The 22,651-nt window shown below is 45.4% G+C and overlaps 1 pseudogene, besides 5 other annotated features; it reads right to left on the bottom strand.

Moving 5' to 3' along the window:
• Positions 2,260 to 3,176: an enhancer, noted in NCBI's record as "H3K27ac-H3K4me1 hESC enhancer chr12:8791770-8792686 (GRCh37/hg19 assembly coordinates)". NCBI's record gives its function as "activates a minimal SCP1, AML or CMV promoter by ChIP-STARR-seq in naive H9 embryonic stem cells {active_cell/tissue: H9 hESC(naive)}" and the evidence as "EXISTENCE:reporter gene assay evidence [ECO:0000049][PMID:30033119]".
• Positions 3,384 to 4,191: an enhancer, noted in NCBI's record as "H3K27ac hESC enhancer chr12:8790755-8791562 (GRCh37/hg19 assembly coordinates)". NCBI's record gives its function as "activates a minimal SCP1, AML or CMV promoter by ChIP-STARR-seq in primed H9 embryonic stem cells {active_cell/tissue: H9 hESC(primed)}" and the evidence as "EXISTENCE:reporter gene assay evidence [ECO:0000049][PMID:30033119]".
• Positions 4,085 to 8,013, bottom strand: HADHAP2 (HADHA pseudogene 2; annotated as a pseudogene).
• Positions 5,808 to 6,617: an enhancer, noted in NCBI's record as "OCT4-NANOG-H3K27ac-H3K4me1 hESC enhancer chr12:8788329-8789138 (GRCh37/hg19 assembly coordinates)". NCBI's record gives its function as "activates a minimal SCP1, AML or CMV promoter by ChIP-STARR-seq in naive and primed H9 embryonic stem cells {active_cell/tissue: H9 hESC(naive and primed)}" and the evidence as "EXISTENCE:reporter gene assay evidence [ECO:0000049][PMID:30033119]".
• Positions 12,623 to 12,842: an enhancer, noted in NCBI's record as "active region_5936". NCBI's record gives its function as "activates an Ori minimal core promoter by ATAC-STARR-seq in GM12878 lymphoblastoid cells {active_cell/tissue: GM12878}" and the evidence as "EXISTENCE:reporter gene assay evidence [ECO:0000049][PMID:35858748]".
• Positions 14,088 to 15,079: an enhancer, noted in NCBI's record as "H3K27ac-H3K4me1 hESC enhancer chr12:8779867-8780858 (GRCh37/hg19 assembly coordinates)". NCBI's record gives its function as "activates a minimal SCP1, AML or CMV promoter by ChIP-STARR-seq in naive H9 embryonic stem cells {active_cell/tissue: H9 hESC(naive)}" and the evidence as "EXISTENCE:reporter gene assay evidence [ECO:0000049][PMID:30033119]".

The raw sequence follows: 22,651 nt of genomic DNA, 5'->3' as shown, positions 1-22,651 counted from the left end.
CCCACGAGGCCGAGGTTACAGTGAGCTATGATGGTATCACTGTACAACAGCCTGGGTGACAGAGTGAGATCCTGTCTGTAAAACAATTTTTTAAAAGTAAAACTTTTTTAAAAGTGGAATTATTCCAAATGTGGTCTTTGGAACTCTAGGACAGCATTGTTATGGTTTGAATGTTTGTCCCCTCCCAAACTCATGTTGAGTTTTAATTGATGTGGGGTCTTTAAGAGGTGATTAGGGGTCGGGCATGCTATAATCCCAGCACTTTGGGAGGCCGAGGCAGGGGGATAATCTGAGGTCAGGAGTTCGAGACCAATCTGGCCAACATGGCGAAACCCTGTCTCTACTAAAAATACAAAAAATTAGCCAGGCGTAGGGGTGGGTGCCTATATTCCAGCTACTTGGGAGGCTGAGGCAGGAGAATCGCTTGAACCCAGGAGGTGGAGGCTGCAGTGAGTCACGATTGTGCCATTGCACTCCACCCTGGGCAACAAGAGCGAAACTCTATCTTAAAAAAAAGAAGAAGAAATGATTAGGGCCGGGAGCAGTGGCTCACATCTGTAATCTCGACACTTTGGGAGGCTGAGGCAGGAAGATCACTTGAGGTAAGGAGTTCAAGACCAGCCAACTCCAGCCAATATGGTGAAACCCCGTCTCTCCTGAAAATACAAAAATTAGCTAGGTGTGGTGGTGGATGCCTGTAATCCCAGCTACTCAGGAGGCTGAGCCATGAGAATTGCTTGAACCTGGGAGGCGGAGCTTGCAGTGAGCCGAGATCGCACCACTGTACTCCAGCCTGGGTGACAGAGCAAGACTCCATCTCAAAAAAAAAAAAAAAAGAAAAGAAAAGAAAAGAGGTGATTAGGTGATGGCAAATCGATCATAAATGGATTACTGCTGCTGTTATTGCAGGGGTAGGTTAGTTATCACGAGACTGGGTTTATAATAAAAGGGAGTTTTGCCCGATTTCTTCTCTCTGCCTCACCAGTTTGCTTGCACTTGCTGTCCTTCCACCATGGGATGACTCTCATCAGATGATGGCACCATGTTCTTGGACTTCTCAGCCTCCAGAACTGTGAGAAATAAATTTCTTTTCTTTATAAATTACTCAGTTGGTGACAGACTCAATAACACAAAATAGACTAAAACAACAACAACAACAACAACTTTTTAATAAAGTGTTCTGTGCTTTTTTTTTAAACAAACATCATATTCCCTGTGTGGTGGGAAGCAGAAGTATTATTATTCATATTTTTCAGACAGAGAAAAAGGTTTAATAAGACCTGACCAAGTTCACACAGTTTTGGTGCGGCAGACCCACGCCTGAATTCTAAAACTCTAAAACTTCTCAAAGGTCTAAAAGTTCTAAAAGTTAATCCAGTTGCAAAAGGAAGACTCCAAGACAAAGGAGTAGTTTACTTGCTTGCCAAAGGCTTGTTTGGGAGGCTACACCTTAGAAAAACTGGAATAAAAAATACAACCTACTGAAAGAGAAACAAATTAGATTCCTAAAGTCACTAGACTTACTGTTTATCTGTTCGTGGTGGGATTTTTTATTTTTTATTTTTTATTTTTTTGAGACAGAGTCTTACTCTGTGGCCCAGGCTGGGGTGCAGTGGTGTGATCTTGGCTTAGTGCAACCTCCGCCTCCCAGGTTCAAGGGATTCTTACGCTTCAGCCTCCTGAATAGCTGGGATTACAGGCATGCACCGCCACGCCCAGCTCATTGTTTTTGTATTTTGGGGTTTCGTTATTTTGGCCAGGCTGATCTCGAACTCCTGGCCTCAAGTGATCCTCCTGCCTTGGCCTCCCAAAGTGCTAGGATTACAGGCATAAGCCACCACAACCTGTCCGATTTTTTTTTTTTTGTATATGGTTCTCATATCCTCAAAGATTATTACCCACCTTCAGAGATTGCCATTGGCAAAGTCAGAGTGCAGTTGTTTGCATGACAGAGTCAGTAACTTATGGAGGAGACTTGAAGATTTTATTTATTTTGGAAACTAGAACTAGAGGCTATGGCCCTGCTTGTTTTCTTGCTTACCTCAAGGTGTAGAATGCTTTCATGTCCACTGGATGTGAAGTGCTCTCTTATTCAGAACTGAGGCAGAGAAACTTAGTGTGGTGGTTCCTGCCTATAATCCCAGCTACTCCACAGGCTGAAGCAGGAAGACTCCTTGAGCCCAGGAGTTCAAGGCCACCCTGGGCAACAAAAGGTGTGAGAGCCTTGTCTCACAAGCAAACAAACACAAAAACAAACAAGTTGAGTCAGAGCACAGGTGTCTCTTTTGTTTTCACACATCACATACACTCCCCAGGAATTCTGTGGAGACTCAGCCAGTGGCTGTTAGCTATGAATCTGGCCAGAAACAAGAACCTGGAAAAGGCCAAAGAGGTTCCGATTTTTCCTCTTCTCGGAAGGGTAGAGAATCAGTGTGTTTACTGGCTCATCAGTCTTTCTCTTTATCCTGATTTCTTTGACTGACTCCTTCAGGAAGGATAGCCTATGTGTCAGAGCACATACTCTGGAGCTAGACTATATGGGTGCAAATCCTGACTCCACCTCTTCTACGGGGAGGAGGCCTATGCAAACCTACCCCCAAAGGCTGAGGGAGCTGAAAGGCCAGATAAAGAGGCAGACATGCCCAGTTTCTCAGCAAAAAAAACATTTAATAAGAACTTAAAAGCAGAAGCCATGTCCCAGGCATCTGCAAGATGGTGGATCCCCTTGCTGTTACCCCAACCCAGACCCAGGGCTTACATACCATAGGGAAAGGGCATCCGTGCTTCAGAAGGGTTGTGTAGGACAATTGAAGGCCACCCCTCAGGGAAAGGCAAGAATGCTACCTGAATCATAGCCTATAATTTGCTTAAGGGCAGGATTCATAGTAAGTGCCTGTTTATGATAACATCAAGGTTGTTTTAATCTAGGGGCTAGACTTATGGTAAATATGTGTTCTTAACAGTAGATAAAGTAGAGATCTTAGAGGTATTACTGGAACTGGGGGTTAATCAGAAGTCAACGTGGTGTTTTAGCAGCCAAGATGGAGTTACTTTAGCCTCCGCCCCACCATTATGATTCAAACCATTCTATGCCTCACTTTTCTCATCTGTAAAAGAGATCAGTGATACAAAACCCTTAAGGCTACTGCGAGATTAAATGAATTAAGTGGTTTAGGGTAGCACCGGCACATAGGCCCTATGTAAATGTGAGTGAGTCATTATCCTTTAGTCAACAAACAACTTTTGAACACCAAGTGCCCAGGGCAGTGCTGGGATGCAAAGTTAACTAAGACATGGCCTCTGCATTTGAAGATTAAATTAGAGTCACTTCTTTTTTTTTTTTGAGATGCTGTGTCACCCAGGCTGGAGTGCAATGGCACAATCACAGCTCACTGCAACCTCTGCCTCCCGGGTTCAAGCAGTTCTCCTGCCTCAGCCTCCTGAGTAGCTGGGATTACAGGCGTGCACCACCACGCCCGGCTAATTTTTGTATTTTTAGTAGAGACGGGGTTTCACCGTGTTGGTCAGGCTGGTCTTGAAATCCTGACCTCATGATCCTCCCGCCTCAGCCTCCCACAGTGCTGGGATTACAGGCGTGAGCCACCGCGGCCGGCCTAGAGTCACTTTATTGCTCAAGTTGTTTCTTTCTGCTTTTAATAACACCTTTTGCCTCCTACAATGACATTCATTGTCTTGTTTTCTTTTCAGGTTTTTATCATTTTTGATAATAAAAAATAAAGTAATGCTTTAAATTATACTATAAATTTATCATGCTCCTGTTCAGGGAAGGCATACATCTGCTCACTGCCTTTAGTTCTCCTCTACACATCTGCTGCCTAGTTTTGGCCAAGTGAACTTTCCACTGATATCCTGGGCTCTTTCCTCCCATTCCCATATCTGTTCTTTCTTCTCCTCAGTCCCAGAGCACTTATCATTTCTGCACCCCTTATTTATGGACTTTCTCCTCTGATTGTACAAACTAATAGCATCCCTAAAGAGAGAATAGCCCAGTCATTGCTTGTTTCTTTTTTCTGGCTATTCAGTCCCTAGAAGTCTCTGAGTTTAATCAGTTTTTTTTTTTCTTCTGGGGAAAGAGCTTTAATATCCTGGTACACCATGGTGAGCAGAAGCCCAGGCAAAGCATCTACACAGGCAGGTGTGTGTGGTTTTGAGCCCACCAGGTCCCACTTTGTCTCATCACAGTCCCTCCCTAAGGTGCTGCCTAGAATTCTGCACAAACGTTCTTACTCCCAAAGCACAGGGCTTTCTTCCAGCTTGCTTTTCGAAGGAGGCATTTAAACCAGGACAAAGACAGAAGATAAAGGAACAACCAGGCAGAGAGGCAGAGACGCTGACACAGAGTTCGGTTTTTACTATTATGTGTTTGGCTGGGTGCAGAATTGCCCTCACCACCCCTGGCCACCCTGGCCTCCTGGGAGGAACAGGCAGAGATGGCTCCAGATGGCTCTTGGCTGCCACTCTAGGCCTCAGGGCTTATACAATGAGCACAGCGGGTTCCACCTTCCAATAGGAAGTGCAAACTCTAATTCACAGTCAGACTTCACCAGGAGGGAGAGATGGTCTTGGCTGAAGGCACTTTAATCAGGGAGCAAACCCAGTGCCAGGGTTTGTCTTCCTTCTCGTTACTCTGATAAGTCTAGATGCCACTCTGTTGGAAAACCAGCACTGCCCACAGCTAGGGTTAGTGCACTGACTGAGCGAAGCATGAGACCTGCTCACTGGTACAACTTCTCGTTAGGGCTATTAGCATGGTCAGCTAGCAGCTAGCATGGAGTGAACTGTTTTCCATAGGCAGCCTCATACTTCTTGAGCCGGGCCACTATCTTCTGGGGGCCATACAGAGCCACAAAGCAGAAAGGCCCTCCAAAACAAGGCGGGAAGCCAAGCCCAAAGACAGCTGCGATGTCTCCCTCTGCAGGTGTGGCCAAGATCCCCTCTCGCAGGCACATGACTGCCTCATTCACAAATCTTGTCACCAGGCGGAACTGGATGTCTTCACCTGGGGAGACTTCAGACTTAGGAGGCATCTTTAGACTCACTAAGATACTATCCACATCAGAATTCAAATTCTTACTCTTCACACCCTCCTGATAGATGTAAAAGCCCTTCCCAAACTTGCGACCTAGGAAGCCCTTGGACACCATCTGTGTCAGCAGTTCTGGGTTTCCACCTCCAAACCGCTCCCCAAGGGCTTTGCGCAGATCTTCCGCCATATGTTTCGCTACATCCACGCCAACTTCATCCACCAGTGTGGCGGCACCCACAGGAAAGCCAAAGCTTGTGGTCAGGGAATCCAGCTTCTCCAGGTCAACTCCTTCCTGGAGGATTCGGATGACTTCAGACATCATGGGTGCAAGACACCTGGTGGTATAGAAGCCAGGTCCATCCATAACCACAATGATGACCTTCCCCTGCTTGAGACTGACTGCCACAGCTGAAGCACTGAGTGTCTTTGGAAGTTTTCTCGGTTGTGATCATCTCCAGCAGCTGCATCTTGTCCATGGGAGAGAAGTAGTGCATGCCAATCACCTTCTCAGGTCTTTTGCTGACAGCAGCGATTTCACTGATTGGGAAAGCAGATGTGTTACTGGCAAAGACACAGTGATCTGGAATCACCGCTTCTACTTCCTTTAGCACTCTGTGCTTAAGACTAAGGTCCTCAAACACAGCTTCAATCACCATGTCGACCTTTAAAACGTTGCTAATCAAGCTGCCCAGTTGAAGGGGTGGCCTGCCCCTCCACATCTGTGGGTGTTTCTCGTCGGGTGGGACGAGAGACTGAGAAAAGAAAGAGACACAGAGACAAAGTATAGAGAAAGAAAAGTGGGCCCAGGGGACCGGCGCCGGCACCGGTCTCTGAGTTCCCTCAGCATTTATTGATCATTATCTCTGCCCTCTCGGAGAGGGGAATGTGGCAGGACAATAGGGTAATAGTGGGGAGAGGGTCAGCAGGAAAACATGTGAACAAATGTCTCTGCATCATAAACAAGGTAAAGAAAAAGGTGCTGTGCTTTGATGTGCACATACATAAACATCTCAATGCATTAAAGAGCAGTATTGCTGCCAGCATGTCTCATCTCCAGCCCTAAGGCGGTTTTCTCCTATCTCAGTAGATGGAATATACAATCGGGTTTTACACCGAGACATTCCATTGCCCAGGGATGAGCAGAAGACAGATGCCTTCCTCTTATCTCAACTGCAAAGAGGCTTTCCTCTTTTTCTAATCCTCCTCAGCACAGACCCTTTACGGGTGTCGGGTGTCGGGCTGGGGGACGGTCAGGTCTTTCCCTTCCCACGAGGCCATATTTCAGACTATCACATGGGGAGAAACCTTGGACAATACCTGGCTTTCCTAGGCGGAGGTCCCTGCGGCCTTCCGCAGTGTTTGTGTCCCTGTGTACTTGAGATTAGGGAGTGGTGATGACTCTTAATGAGCATGCTGCCTTCAAGCATTTGTTTAACAAAGCACATCCTGCATAGCCCTAAATCCATTAAACCTTGAGTCGACACAGCACATGTTTCCGCAAGCACAGGGTTGGGGGTAGGGTTACAGATTAACAGCATCTCAAGGCGGAAGAATTTTTCTTAGTACAGAACAAAATGGAGTCTCTTATGTCTTCTTCTTTCCGCATAGACACAGTAACCGTCTGATCTCTCTTTTCCCCACACCCAGTCAAGTTGCTGAAGATGGAATCCCTTACAAATGATGTTAGAGCTTTCTTATTCACTTTATCATTCAATCCTTTGAACACTTGTTGCTGTCCTTGGCCTAGCCTAGTGAGTGTGGCATCTTTAAGTATAGTCTTTAGCCTCTTATCCACAGAGACTTGGGTGATGCCTGCTCCCTTCAGCCCTTCACCAAGAATAGCCAGACGCTTAACATCCTTCTGTGGTGCTCCAAATTTATTCTTCTTGCACAAGACCTGACCATGGTAGAGACCCATCAAGGCCTTTGATTCACTGGTCATTGCAAGCTATCCAAATTTCTGAGATTCAGAGAGATAACCAGCATCAATCCCTCGCTCAATTCCAGTCTTTACCACGTCAATTATTTTCAGAGGTGCAGGATAAAGGCCTTTAGTCTCCTTTTGCACTTTTTCTTCCACTTTTTTGTAAACCTGTTGCCTGACAAATGGAATAGTCATGGTGTACGCTGTCAATTTTTCCACCAATCCCTTGTCTCTCTTTGGAGAGATCTTCTTATCAGCTAGTCCTTTGGCAAAAGTAATTGCAACTGCTTCCAGGTATTCGATTGTCCATTCCTCTGGAGGTTTTATTCCCGGTCCCAGGGGTTCTACCAATTGGTCAACCAGTCCCATTTTCTTTGCGCTATCTGCATGAATGTTTCTACTAGTCAGCATCATGTCAAAAACAGCAGGCACACCCACCATTTTGGGCAGCCTTTGTGTGCCTCCTGCTCCTGGTAAGATCCCCAGCAAGACTTCAGGGGCACCTAATATTGTTTTTCCATCTTTTGTTGCTATTCTGTATTGGCATGAAATGGCAAGCTCAAGCCCTCCTCCCAGGCAGGATCCACTGATGGCAGCTATAACAGGCTTTGCGGCCTTTTCAAGTTTCTCAAATGTTCTCTGTGCTTCTTGTGATACCTGTGTTACTTCTTGAGGGGTCTTGCAAGTGGCTAACATATTGATATCAGCACCTGCAATAAAGCGGCCTGGCTTTGGATGAAATAAGGACAGCATTTCTGATTTGATTAGTAGCCCAGACTTCATTCATAACTTCCGTGAACTCTGAATGCAGCTCTTTACTCAGTGTATTTACCTTTGAAGTGGAAGATTTAATTCGAATAACTGCCACATCCCCTTTGACTCCATAGTTAATATGGGTTCTGGTCAGCAAAGCAGAAGACTCTGTAAAATTGCGGCGTATATAACCTTGGGATCAGAGGATCCTGAAGTCAGAGAAGCGGCTGAGGATGCCAATCGCCCGGTAGGCCACCATGTTGAGCTGAAGAGGACAGCAGTGAAGAGCACTTTAGCAGGGCCGCCTGAGCGGAGGACTTTTCCTCTTAATCAGGATTTTTAAAAATTAAGGTGAAATTGACATAACACACTATTAAGCATTTTAAAGTGTACAATTGAGTGGCGTTTGGTACATACAGACTTGTGTAACTACCACCTCTATTTTCTTTTTCTTTTTCTTTTTCTTTTCTTTTTTTTTTTTTTTGAGACGGAGTCTTGCTCTGTCGCGCAGGCTGGAGGGCAATGGCGAGGTCTCGGCTCACTGCAAGCTCCGCCTCCCGGGTTCACGCCATTCTCCTGCCTCAGCCTCCCGAGTAGCTGGGACCACAGGCGCCCGCCACCACGCCCGGCTAATTTTTTTTTGTATTTTTAGTAGAGACGGGGTTTCACCGTGTTAGCTAGGTTGGTCTCGATCTCCTGACCTCGTGATCTGCCCCGCCTCGGCCTCCCAAAGTGCTGGGATTACAGGCGTGAGCCACCGCGCCCGGCCCAACCACCTCTATTTTCAAAACTTTTTCCTATCCCCAAAAGAAAACCTCATATTCCTTAAGTAGCAACTCCCTAGTCTCCTCTCTAGCCCCTGGGCAACTACCAGTCTGCTTTCTGCCTCTAGGGATTTACCTATCCCGGATATATTTTCATATAAATTAAATACTTCCCTATAAATGAAATCATGCACAATGTGACTTTTCTAGTCTGTCTTAATCAAGATTTTAGGATTATTTGCTCGGAGCGTAAATAACTAATTACAGAGCACATCCAGGAAAATCATCTCAATAGGAGAATTTTGATTTTACTTATTTTTTGCTGTAGCCATACCTCCTTTAGGGAACCTATGGATGGAGGTCTAAAGTAACCCGAATGCATGGAGGTAGGGGCAGGCTGAATAAATTACCCAAAGTGCTGGCATGTACCGAGTTAGTAGTGTTGTTTTCTAACCATACTGAGATGGTTGACTCTCCCTTTCCTCCTCTGGTAACAAAGTGAAAAGGCCCTCATTGATTGGTAATTTTAGCCAATGTGTGGATATGGGCGGGGAGTGTGTGGATCGGTGATGGGTGGGTAAGAAGGGTGAGGGGTTGTGGGGAGGGGGAAACCGGCTGCAGTGTGAACTAAAGAATTTGGAGCTGCTGGCCGGGCGCAGTGGCTCACGCCTGTAATCCCAGAACTTTGGGAGGCCGAGGCGGGCAGATCACGAGGTCAGGAGATCGAGACGATCCTGGCTAACACGGTGAAACCCCGTCTCTACTAAAAAATAGAAAAAATTAGCCGGGCGAGGTGGTGGGCGCCTGTAGTCCCAGCTACTCGGGAGGCGGAGGCAGGAGAATGGCGTGAACCTGGGAGGCGGAGCTTGCAGTGAGCCCAGATCGCGCCACTGCACCCCAGCCTGAGCGACAAAGCGAGACTCCGTCTAAAAAAAAAAAAAAAAAAAGAATTTGAGCTGCTGATGTCAATTCGTTTGCTTCTCAAATCTCATTAAGGACACTGATTTTAATGAAATCAAGAGGGGTTGTGATTTGATTAGTAGAAAGGCAATCATCCGTGCAGACCCTAAAAGAAAAAGAGAACCAAGGAGGAAGAATTTACCAACATGGTTCCAGGACTTCGAGACTCTCTAGAAAGAAATATCTTTATAGATGAGAATGGCAATTCTACAGAAAACATGTTGTTTCTAATATGCTATAATTTCCTTAGGAACTGTCCCTCATCCATTTTAGAGCTAATTGGGTCAAGATTTATTCTACTAGTCTTTGGAATCATATCAGTCTTTACATTGCATCTCTGAGCAAACAACTAATATGGAATTTGGTCTTTGGAATGTATCTACCCACAAAGAAAAAAACCCTGTGAAGAGTTCCATGTGATTTGGAGCACCTCTAATTTTCCCTGGCATTTCAATTTGTTGAAAAGCGACCTCCTTTTCCCCATAACCCCATGACAGTTTAAAAATATATATATTGTCGTTTTAGAGCTGGATGAGACTTTGGAGATCTTCTAGGCCAATATCTATCAAAGTTTGGCTCCAAACTGACCACCAGATTTGGAATGAATTATTGGCATGTTTTTCAAAACGGCAGAGCCCTGGGATGCATGAAATCAAAATTTGTAGAATCTGCAATTTTATGCACTCACTCACTCACACCAAAATGTGAGAACCATAAATCTACTCATATTTCATAACTAATCAGAAAACTTGGAACTATGGGTGCAGATAACTTGTTGATGGTGACAACTTATATTTTTGAAATATCTCGTCTTCTACGTTTCTTTAAGGGAAGCTTTGAAGTAGAAAGACGAAATTTTGGTTATTCTTTTTTTTTTTTTTAATTTTACTTTGAGTTCTGGGATACATGTGCAGAACGTGCAGGTTTGTTGCATAGGTATACATGTGCCATGGTGGTTTGCTGCACCTGTCAACCCATCATCTAGGTTTTAAGCCCTGCATGCATTAGGTATTTGTCCTAATGCTCTCTGTCCCCTTGCCCCCCATCCCCCAACAGGCCCTGGTGTGTGATGTTCCCCTCCCTGTGTCCATGTGTTCTCATTGTGCAACTCCCACTTATGAGTGAGAACATGTGGTGTTTGGTTTTCTGTTCCTGTGTTTGGTGAGAATGATGGTTTCCAGCTTCATCCATGTTCCTGCAAAGGACATGAACTCATTCTTTTTATGGCTGCATAGTATTCCATGGCATAAATGTGCCACATTTTCTTTATCCAGTCTATCATTGATGGGCATTTGGGTTGGTTCCAAGTCTTTGCTATTGTCAATAGTGCTGCAATAAACATACATGTGCATGTGTCTTTATAGTAGAATGATTTATAACCCTTTGGGTATATACCCAGTAATGGGATTGCTGGGTCAAGTGGTATTTCTGGTTCTAGATCCTTGAGGAATTGTCACACCGTCTTCCACAATGGTTCAACTAATTTACACTCCCACCAACAGTGTAAAAGCATTCCTATTTCTCCACAGCCTCGCCAGCATCTGTTGTTTCCTGACTTAATAATCACCATTCTAACTGGCATGAGATGGTATCTCATTGTGGTTTTGATTTGGATTTCTCTAATGACCAGTGATGATGAGCTTTTTTTCATGTTTGTTGGCCACAAGAATGTCTTCTTCTGAGAAGTGTCTGTTCATATCCTTTGCCCACTTTTTGCTGGGGTTGTTTGTTTTTTTTCTTGTAAATTTGTTTAAGTTCCTTGTAGATTCTGGATATTAGATCTTTGTCAGATGGTTAGATTGCAAAATTTTTTTCCCATTCTGTAGGTTGCCTGTTCACTCTGATGAGTTTCTTTTGCTGTGCAGAAGCTCTCTAGTTTAATTAGATCCCATTTGTCAATTTTGGCTTTTGTTGCCATTGCTTTTGGTGTTTTAGTCATGAAGTCTTTGCCCATGCCTATGTCCTGAATGGTATTGCCTAGGTTTTCTTCTAGAGTTTTTATGATTTTGCTTTTTACATGTAAGTATTTAATCCCTCTTGAGTTAATTTTTGTATAAGATGTAAGGAAGTGGTCCAGTTTTCTGTTTTCTGCATATGGCTAGCCAGTTTTCCCAGCACCATTTATTAAATAGGGAATCCTTTCCCCATTGCTTGTGTTTGTCAGGTTTGTCAAAGATCAAACGGTTGTAGATGTGTGGTGTTGAAATATCTCATCTTCTAATATACCATTATTAAATATGGCAGTTATCGTAAGATAATATTTTATAAAAACAGTTATTATTTATAGAGTAACTTCTGTGCAACATGCTGAGACACTTGTTTATGTTATTATTATTATTTTTTTCAAGACAAGGTCTCACTATGTAGCCCAGGCTGATCTCAAACTCCTGACCTCAAGTGATCCACCAGCCTCAGCTTCCCAAAGTGCTGGGATTACAGTCGTGAGCCTCCATGCCTGGCCTACGATATCTTTAGCTATCCTGCAAAACACTTGTTTCACCTCTAAGCCACCTCAGTATTTATGCCTGAACATAGGAATAATAATAGTTCCTACCTCTTGGATTTAAATGAGATACTATGTGCAATGTGCTTAGCACAGAATCTTCCATAAAGTAAGTACACAATAAATGTTAGCTATTATCACTATTATTTGATCGCATTTTATACATGGAAGAACTGAAACATATGACATTAGGTAACACATTCAAAGAAATATGGAGCAGGAGGATGGATAGGAAATGGTGGAGACAGAATTCAAATCTCTACGTGCTAGATTACAAAACCTAACTTTTCCCACTACTCTATGTCTTATATGTTCATGATCAGAGGAGGTTCCTTAGTTCATTTTCCCATTAAAAATAATTCTTTTGTTTTAGCCCTTTGCCCAGTCCTAGATTTTTGATGCATTCTTGTTTACTGTTCTCTCATCCTTGAAGAGTCCTGGGCAGCTGCACAGCAGAAGTTGAATGAGTAATTCCTGTATATGCATAAAGGCCTGTCATTCAACTTCTTCATACCCCAGAGAAGTTCTATAATATGGCTGGCAGTAAACTGAGAAAAACAAAAATTGGGGAATGCAGAAGTAGAAGCACTCCAAAAATCACACTTTCACCCACACAGACTCCTTTTTGGGCTCTTTTTAAAAACAACAAAGTATCATATTGAACAATCTAGCTGGTGTCCAAAAATAGTGGCCTGGGGAGTCACTGCCGGAGCATGCTGGCCTCAGACACAGGAATGTACACCCTGGAGACTCCCAGGGGAAGTCCCCATTTTAGCTTCACACGGTGGCCATAATGAAACCTCACCTCGTGCTTCTCATGGTGAGGATTAAGTGGTGAAGTCCAGATGTGCACCAGCAGCACAATTTCCAAGTCATGTTATTTTTGTTAAAAATGAACTAGCCAGGTTGTGCTGTGGTTTTTCAATAGAAGTTGGTGAGGGGAGACAGTAGTTAGTAAGGAAAATAACTAATAGCTGAATGAAACCCCACAAAATTGTTTTTTAGTCTCACTAACTCCAAATCCCCCAAAACAGAAAATGATTCTGTAATTATAAGAGATATAATTTTTCTTCCCTTAGAAGAAGCAAGGTAAACAAGGAATATTGCTTTCTAAGAAATAAAGTATTTTCTTATGCTGGACAAATCATGTTTCCTTAACATAAAGAACTTTATAGTTACATGTAAATTAGTTAACTCTGGATTTTATTAGAGTTTTACTTAAGAAGATTATGTAAAATATGAATAACATCTCAATTTTATGTAATCATAGCTTTACTATGAGCCTTCACTCAAACCAGACTGAGCTCAAACAGTTGCTAAAGTATCAGAAGCAAGCCCTCACAACCCTGCTGTTCCTGTCGCCTGGAGAGAAGATGACAGGAACAGCAAGGTTGTGAGGACAACAAGCTCATGCTGTTCCTGTCACCTGGAGAGATGAGAAATTTTATCAAGCATATTTTACATATCCCAGATGCCACGCTTTCATATTCCCACACAGTAGCTAAGAAAACCATCAGGATGACTTTGTGAGGAAGGAATTCTTTCCCAATGCCATGCATTTCCTAAGTGACAGTGCCAGATCTGCTGGGCGTGGTGGCTCACTCCTGTAATCCCAGCACTTTGGGAGGCCAAGGCAGGCAGATTAATTAAACCCAGGAGTTTGAGACTAGCTTGGGCAAACATGGCGAAACCTTGTCTCTACAAAAAATACAAAAATTAGCTGGGTGTGGTGGCACATGTTAGTAGTCCCAGCTACTCAGGAGGTTGAGGTGGGAGGATTGCTTGAGGAGCTGGAGGCTGCAGTGACCTATGATTGCACCAGTGCACTCCAGCCTAGGTGACAGGGTGAGACCCTGCCTCAAAGAAAAAAAAAAAAAGGGACAGATCTTGGGCCCAAGTCTCTCTGTCTTCAAAGACCATGCTGGTTTCATTACACTATACTCTATTCCCAGAATTCTCTGCCCGATCATCAATGAAGATAAATGAATAGTCAAATATTTTTTATGCATTTCACTATTCAAATGATAAATAAATGTGCAAATCCTATCTATTCATCAAAGTCTCAATCAAGCACTGCCTATCATGAAGCTTTTGATTATTTCAATTATTTTGATTATTATAGCTTCTATCTACCATGATTTTGTTCTTCCTCTGAACTCATGCCACCAAGTGGATGATGCATATCCTGGTACAGCTGTCCTTTGGGAACCACGAGGGATTGATTGGTTCCAGGACCCTCCTCAGATAACAAAATCCGAGGACACTCAAGTCCTTTATACGAAATGGCATAGTATTTACATATAACCTACACACATACTCCTGTATACTTTCAGTCATCTCTAGACTACTTATAATACCTAATACAATGTAAATGCTATGTAAATAGTTGCTATACCATATTGTTTTTAAAATTCATATTATTTTTAATTGTTATTTTGTTTTTCAATTATTTTCAATCCAAGCCTGTGGAACTCACAGATATAGAGGTTCAACTATACTGAGTTTGTACAAGAGAGTAAGAGAGGCCAGGTGCAGTGGCTCATGCCTGTAATCCCAGCATTTTGGGAGGCTGAGGCGGGAGGATTGCCTGAGCCCAGGAGTGCAAGACTAGCCTGGGCAACATAGTGAAATCCTGTCACTATAAAAAATTTAAAAATTAGCCGAGAGTGGTGGCACATGCTTGTGGTCCTAGCTGCTCGGGAGGCTGAGGTGGGAGGATCATTTGAGCCCAGGAGGTTGAGGCTGCAGTGAGCTGAGATTGTGCCACTGCACTCCAGCCTGGGCAACAAAGCAACAAAGCAAGAACTTGTCTAAAAAAAAAAAAAAAAAAAAAAAAAAAAGGTAGGAGACCACAATTGGGAAAGTTTTAGCAAGAATTCATGCTTTTTACAGAGCATTAGAGAATCATTGTTTCTCAGTTTTTTCCCCATTAAACTGTCTATAAAGAAGAGTAAACTAAGAAATGCTGAGCATCTGAGGGTATAATTGCAAATCACTCAGCTTACTTGGAATCTATGTTTTATCTTTAAAAGTTTCATGATGCTATATTAGCAACCACCCTGGTAGGCCTGCTACATGTGGGTTTACTTTGCAGACAGGGGAAAATAAAAATTGTTGAAGTCTTCCGTGTCTTGAGGCCTTTTCCTTTTCTCATGAGAGCAGAAGATAATATGGGGAAAAGAAAGGCCGGGTGTGGTAGCTCACATTTGTAACCCGAGCACTTTGGGAGGCCCAGTCAGGCGGATGTCTTGAGTCCAGGAGTTCGAGACCAGCCTGGACAACGTGGCATAACCCCATCTTTACAAAAAATACAAAAATTAGCCAGGTGTGGTGGCGGGTGCCTGTGGTCCCAGCTACTTGAAAGGCTGAGGTGGGATAGCCCAGGAGATGGTGGTTGCAGTGAGCCAAGATTGTACCACTGCACTCCAGCCTGGGTGGCAGAGTGAGATTCTGTCTCAAAAAAAGAAAAAAAAAATAGGGGAAAAGACATAAGTATAAGGAAATTAATGTGCATATTACATTCTTCTCTAAATAATTTTTTATTTTTTTTATTTTATTTTTTTTTTTTGGGGGGAAGAAAAGTTTTACTAAATGGTCTTTTTTTTTTTTTTTTTTTTTTTTTTTTTTTTTTTATTGATCATTCTTGGGTGTTTCTCGCAGAGGGGGATTTGGCAGGGTCATAGGACAACAGTGGAGGGAAGGTCAGCAGATAAACAAGTGAACAAAGGTCTCTGGTTTTCCTAGGCAGAGGACCCTGCGGCCTTCCGCAGTGTTTGTGTCCCTGGGTACTTAAGATTAGGGAGTGGTGATGACTCTTAACGAGCATGCTGCCTTCAAGCATCTGTTTAACAAAGCACATCTTGCACCGCCCTTAATCCATTTAACCCTGAGTGGACACAGCACATGTTTCAGAGAGCACAGGGTTGGGGATAAGGTCACAGATCAACAGGATCCCAAGGCAGAAGAATTTTTCTTAGTACAGAACAAAATGAAAACTCTCCCATGTCTACTTCTATCCACACAGACCCGGCAACCATCCGATTTCTCAATTTTTTCCCCACCCTTCCCGCCTTTCTATTCCACAAAACCGCCATTGTCATCATGGCCCATCCCCAATGAGCCGCTGGGCACACCTCCCAGACGGGGTCGTGGCCGGGCAGAGGGGCTCCTCACTTCCCAGTAGGGGCGGCCGGGCAGAAGCGCCCCTCACCTCCCGGATGGGGCGGCTGGCCGGGCGGGGGGCTGACCCCCCCACCACCCTCCCGGACGGGGCGGCTGGCCAGGCAGAGGGGCTCCTCACTTCCCAGTAGGGGCGGCCGGGCAGAGGCGCCCCTCACCTCCCGGACGGGGCGGCTGGCCAGGCGGGGGGCTGATCCCCCCACCTCCCTCCCGGACGGGGCGGCTGGCCGGGCGGGGGGCTGACCCCCCCACCTCCCTCCCGGATGGGGCGGCTGGCCAGGCGGGGGGCTGACCCCCCCCACCTCCCTCCCGGACGGGGCGGCTGGCCGGGCAGAGGGGCTCCTCACTTCCCAGTAGGGGCGGCCGGGCAGAGGCGCCCCTCACCTCCCGGACGGGGCGGCTGGCCAGGCGGGGGGCTGATCCCCCCACCTCCCTCCCGGACGGGGCGGCTGGCCAGGCAGGGGGCTGACCCCCCCCACCTCCCTCCCGGACGGGGCGGCTGGCCGGGCAGAGGGGTCCTCACTTCCCAGTAGGGGCAGCCGGGCAGAGGCGCCCCTCACCTCCCGGACGGGGCGGCTGGCCAGGCGGGGGGCTGATCCCCCCACCTCCCTCCCGGACGGGGCGGCTGGCCGGGCGGGGGGCTGACCCCCCACCTCCCTCCCGGACTGGGCGGCTGGCCGGGCGGGGGGCTGACCCCCCACCTCCCTCCCGGACGGGGCGGCTGGCCGGGCAGAGGGGTCCTCACTTCCCGGTAGGGGCGGCCGGGCAGAGGCGCCCCTCACCTCCCGGACGGGGCGGCCGGCCGGGCGGGGGGCTGACCCCCCCACCTCCCTCCCGGACGGGGCGGCTGGCCGGGCAGAGGGGCTCCTCACTTCCCAGTAGGGGCGGCCGGGCAGAGGAGCCCCTCACCTCCCGGACGGGGCGGCTGGCGGGGCGGAGGGCTGACCCCCCCCCCACCTCCCTCCCGGACGGGGCGGCTGCCGGGCGGAGACGCTCCTCACTTCCCAGACGGGGCGGTTGCCAGGCAGAGGGTTTCCTCACTTCTCAGACGGGGCGGCCGGGCAGAGACGCTCCTCACCTCCCAGACAGGGTTGCGGCCCAGCAGAGGCGCTCCTCACATCCCAGACAGGGCGGCGGGGCAGAGGCGCTCCCCACATCTCAGACGATGGGCGGCGGGGAAGAGGCGCTCCTCACCTCCCAGACAGGGTTGCGGCCCAGCAGAGGTGCTCCTCACATCCCAGACAGGGCGGCGGGGCAGAGGCGCTCCCCACATCTCAGACGATGGGCGGCGGGGAAGAGGCGCTCCTCGCCTCCCAGACGGGATGGTGGCCGGGCAGAGACGCTCCTCACTTTCCAGACTGGGCAGCCAGGCAGAGAGGCTCCCCATATCCCAGACGATGGGGGGGCCAGGCAGAGACGCTCCTCACCTCCCAGACGGGGTGGCGGCTGGGCAGAGGCTGCAATCTCGGCACTTTGGGGGGCCAAGGCAGGCGGCTGGGAGGTGGAGGTTGTAGCGAGCCGAGATCACGCCACTGCACTCCAGCCTGGGCACCATTGAGCACCGAGTGAACGAGACTCCGTCTGCAATCCCAGCACCTCGGGAGGCCGAGGCTGGCGGATCACCCGCGGCTAGGAGCTGGAGACCAGCCCGGCCAACACAGCGAAACCCCGTCTCCACCAAAAAAAAAAACGAAAACCAGTCAGGCCTGGCGGCGCGCGCCCGCAATCGCAGGCACTCGGCAGGCTGAGGCAGGAGAACCAGGCAGGGAGGTTGCAGTGAGCCGAGACGGCAGCAGCACCGTCCAGCTTTGGCTCGGCATCAGAGGGAGACCGTGGAAGGAGACCGTGGAGAGAGAGGGAGACGGAGAGGGAGAGGGAGAGGGGGAGGGGGAGGGGGAGAATAATTTTTTAAATAAAAATGTTTTCCTCTAATTTTTGGGAAACCTTTAGGTTCCAGGAAAGCACGGCATATCCATCCTGTGGCTTCGACTTATCCTTGATTGATTGCTGCTCCGTCAAAAAATAAGCATATCTCCAGATATGCATGTCCCATTTTGAAAAGCATAGGGCTAGAGAAACCTAAAGTTCCTTCAACTTTGAGATGTCATGATTCAGTAATTTTTAGATTTGTCTTTTATAGCTATTTATTTTAATATCATCAGTCATTTAAGCATGTTGTCTTTTTTTTTTTTTTTTGGCAGAATCTCGCTCTGTCACCCAGGCTGGAGTGCCATGACACAATCTCGGCTCACTGCAACTTCTGCCTCCTGGGTTCAAAGGATTCTGCTGCCTCATCCTCCCGGGTAGTTGTGATTACAGGCATGCACCACCACACCCGGCTAATTTTTGTGTTTTTAGTAGAGACAAGGTTTCACCATGTTGGCCAGGCTGGTCTCAAACTCCTGACCTCAGGTAATCTGCCCGCCGGGGTCTCCCAAAGTGCTGGGATTATAGGCATGAGCCACCACTCCTGCCTTTAAGTATTATGTCTATTTTTAAAGCTTTTAACAACATTATAAACTGCTTGAAGAACTATAATGCACACCAGTATTCACCTTCGATGTTCCCCTTATGCTCTCTCATAATAGGCCTTTAATAAATATTAATCAGATGAATGAATTTCAGCTTTCAAAGGTAATCTTCATAAATTCGTCATAAAATCACTTTTTTAAATTGCCCCCAAAGGGGTAGAACATCAAAACAAACAGAATATTTGTTTCTCTCCAGGAACTTTATTTTCAAATGCTGAATATCTAAAACCGATTGATATATGTTAGAGAGAATCTTTTTTGCAGTCTATACACTGAAAAGATTTTCAAAACAGAAGGAGACATTATACAGGAATGTAGACTGTATTTTGTGTTGTGTTTATTAGGTTTTGCCAACACTATATCAAATATATTTTATAAAATAGAATAAACAAATATCCACAGATAATTCTGCCAACAGAGCCTCTTTTGATAAAGCAAGGAGCTCCAAGGAAGTACAGGTCCATGTTTCAATTAGATTTAGATTTAATACTTGCTAAGTCAACTGTCTACATTTTTGGGTGGAAGACAAAGTCTTTCTTGCATAAGCCATTTATTGAGTTTGCCTGACATATACCAATTCTAAATGATATAGTTATGTGGCGGCGGCAGGGGGATCTTTCTCTGTAGCTCTGATGAAGATTTCTAAATTGATATGGTCAAATAGATTAAGGTCTGTAGGATTGATTTTACCAGCTTGACAGTATTGCATGGGCTTTGGAGTAAGGCTGATGCTTTCAAATCTCAGTCCCAGCTTTTCTGCTTTCTAGCTGTTGGCTGAACTTGTTAGATAATGACTTTTTGTGTAGAGAATGGGATTACTCCCCAGTCAGACGCTGAGCAGGAAGAAAGAGGGCCCTTGTCAGGGAAGCTATTGGGCTTTAAAAAATAATTTCAGTTTCAGTAAGGATGTGAGTGTGTGTGTTTAAAGGAGGTGCCATTAAGAAATATGTGATAGGCTGGGCGTGCTGGCTCACGCCTTGTTATCCTAGCACTTTGAGAGGTCGAGGTGGGCAGATCACCTGAGGTCAAGAGTTTGAGACCAGGCTGGCCAACATGGTGAAACCCCGTCTCTACTGAAAATACAAAAAAATTGGCTGAGTGTGGTGGTTCGTGCCTGTAATCCCAGCATTTTGGGAGGCTGAGGTGGGTGGATCACTTGAGGTCAGAAGTTGGAGACCAGCCTGACTAACATGGTGAAACCCCATCATTACTAAAATGCAAAAATTAGCCTGGCTTGGTGGCGGGCGCCTGTAATCCCAGCTACTCAGGAGGTTGAGGCAGGAGAATTGCTTGAACCCGGGAGGCAGAGGTTGCAGTGAGCTGAGATCCCGCCATTGCACTCCAGCCTGGGTGACAGAGCAAGACTCTGTTTCAAAAAAAAAAAAAAAGAAAAGAAAAGAAAAAAAAGGAAAAAGAAATATGTGATAGATACAAAAATCCTCAATAAAGTAGTAACAAACCAAATTCAACAACACATCAGAAAGATTCTACACCATAACTAAGTGGGATTTATCCTTTGGAGTGGTTTAACACATACAAATCAATCAATGTGCTATGTCATATTAAAAACCACATGATCATGTCAAGAGATGCAGAAGCATTTGACAAACTTCAATACTCATTCATGGCAGAGAAAAAAAAAACGCATCAAAATAGGTATAGAAGGAAATTCCTTGGCACAATAACAGCCATTTATGAAAAGCACACAGCTAACATCAAAATTAATGGAAAAGCTGAAAACTTTTTCTCTAAGATCTTGTACAAGATGAGGATGCCCACTGTTGCCACTTCTATTCAACATAATGCTGGAAGTGCTAGCAAGAACAATCACACAAGAAAAATAAGAGGCATCCAAATTTGAGAGGAAGAAGTAAAATTATTTCTCTTTGTAGATGACATAATTCTGTATGTAGAAAACTAAGGAGTCCACACACAAAAAAACAATTAGAACTAATAAATTCAGTAAAGTTGCAGGATTAAAAAGCCAACATACAAAAAGTAGTTGCATTTATTTACAAGAACAAATATCTACCCGAAAAGGAAATCAAGAAACTAATTTCATTTATGATAGCATCAAAAAGAATACAATAGTTAAGAATAAACTTAACCAAGGAGGTAAGAGATATATACACTGAAACTTATAAAACATTGATGAAAGAAGTTGAAGAAGACGACAAATAAGTGGAAGGATATCCTGTGTTCATGGATTAGAAGAGTTAATATTGTTAAAATGTCTATATTGGCCTGGCACAGTGGCTCACGCCTATAATCGCAACACTTTGGGAGGCCAAGGCAGACAGATCATATGAGCCCAGGAGTTCGAGACCAGCCTGAGCAACATGGCAAAACCCCATCTCTACAAGAAATACAAAAATTAGCTGGGCATGGTGGCACATACCTGTAGTCCCAGCTACTCAGGAGGCTGAGGTGGGAGGATCACCTGAACCTCGGAAATCGAGGCTGTAGTGAGCCATGATCATGCCACTGCACTCCAGCCTGCACTCCACTCCTTCAAAAAAAAAAAAAAGTTTATACTAAATAAAGGGACATAGAGATTAAATGATTAAACACAATTCCCATCAAAATTCCATTTTTCAAAGAAATAAACAATTCTAAAATTTGTGTGGAACAAAAGACCCTGAATACACAAATCAATCTTGAGAAAGAAGGACAAAGTTACAGGCATACTTTCTGATTTCAAATTATAGCACAAAACTATGGTAGTCAAAACTGTATGGTACTGGCATAAAAACAGACATGTAGACTAAGAGAATAGAAAACTCCCTAATAAACTCCAGCATACAAAGTCAACTAATTTTCTTTGTGTGTGTGTGTGTGTGTATGTGTTTGAGACAGAGTCTCTGTTGCCCGGCCTGGAGTGCAGTGGCATGATCTCAGCTCACTGCAACCTCCACCTCCCAGGTTCAGTGATTCTCCTGCCTCAGCCTCCCAAGTAGCTGGTATTACAGGCATGAGCCACCACACCTGACTAATTTTTGTATTTTTAGTAGAGACAGGGTTTCACCATGTTGGCCAAGCTGGTCTTGAACTCCTGACCTCAAGTGATCCACCCACCTCGGCCTCCCAAAGTGTTGGAAATACAGACGTGAGCCACCACACCCCACAAGTCAACTAATTTTCAACAGGGGTACCAAGAATACACAGTAGGGAAAGGATAGTCTCTTCAATAAATTGTGTTAGGAAAACTGGATATCCACATGCAAAAGAATGAAATTGGACCCTTATCTTACACCATACACAAAAATCAACTAAAATGGATTAAGGACTTAAATAAGGCCTGAAACCGTAAAACTACTAGAAGAAAATGGGAGTGGGAATGGGCAGCTTCTTGACGTTGGCCTTGGCAATGATGTTTTTGGCTATGACACCGAAAGAATAGGCAATAAAAGCATAAATAAAAAGTGGGACTAAATCAAACTGAAAAGCTTCTACACAGCAAAGAAAACAATCATCAACATGAAAAGGCAACCTATAGGTTAGAAGAAAATATTTGCTAATCATATATCTGATGAAGGGGTTAATGTCCGGCCAGGTGCAGTGGCTAATGCCATATAATCCCAGAACTTTGGGAAGCTGAGGCAGGAGGATCACTTGAGCCAAGGAGTTTAAGGTCAGCCTGGGCAACAAAGTGAGGCCTCTATTCCTACAAAAAAAGTATAAAAATCATCTGGGCATGGTGGCTTGTGTCTGTAGTCCCAGCTACTCGGGAGGCTGAGGCAGGAGGATTGTTTGAGCCTGGGAGGTCAAGGCTGCAGTGAGCTGTGATTGCATCACTGGACTCCAGCCTGGGTGACAGAGCGAGACCCTGTTTCAAAAAGGAAAAAAAGGTAGACAGGGGTTTAATATCCAAAATATATAAGGAATTCATACAACTTAGTACCAAAAAAAAATGTCAACCTAAAATAATCAAAAGGGTCAGAATCTAATTTAAATAAAGTTTATTCAAGGACAAAGTTTGAAGACAGTCCA

This window comes from Homo sapiens, chromosome 12, assembly GCF_000001405.40.
Source record: "Homo sapiens chromosome 12, GRCh38.p14 Primary Assembly".
Taxonomy (NCBI): Eukaryota; Metazoa; Chordata; class Mammalia; order Primates; family Hominidae; genus Homo; species Homo sapiens.
The sequence above is the reverse complement of the archived record's forward strand: the minus strand, read 5'-3'. Positions and strand labels throughout refer to the sequence as shown.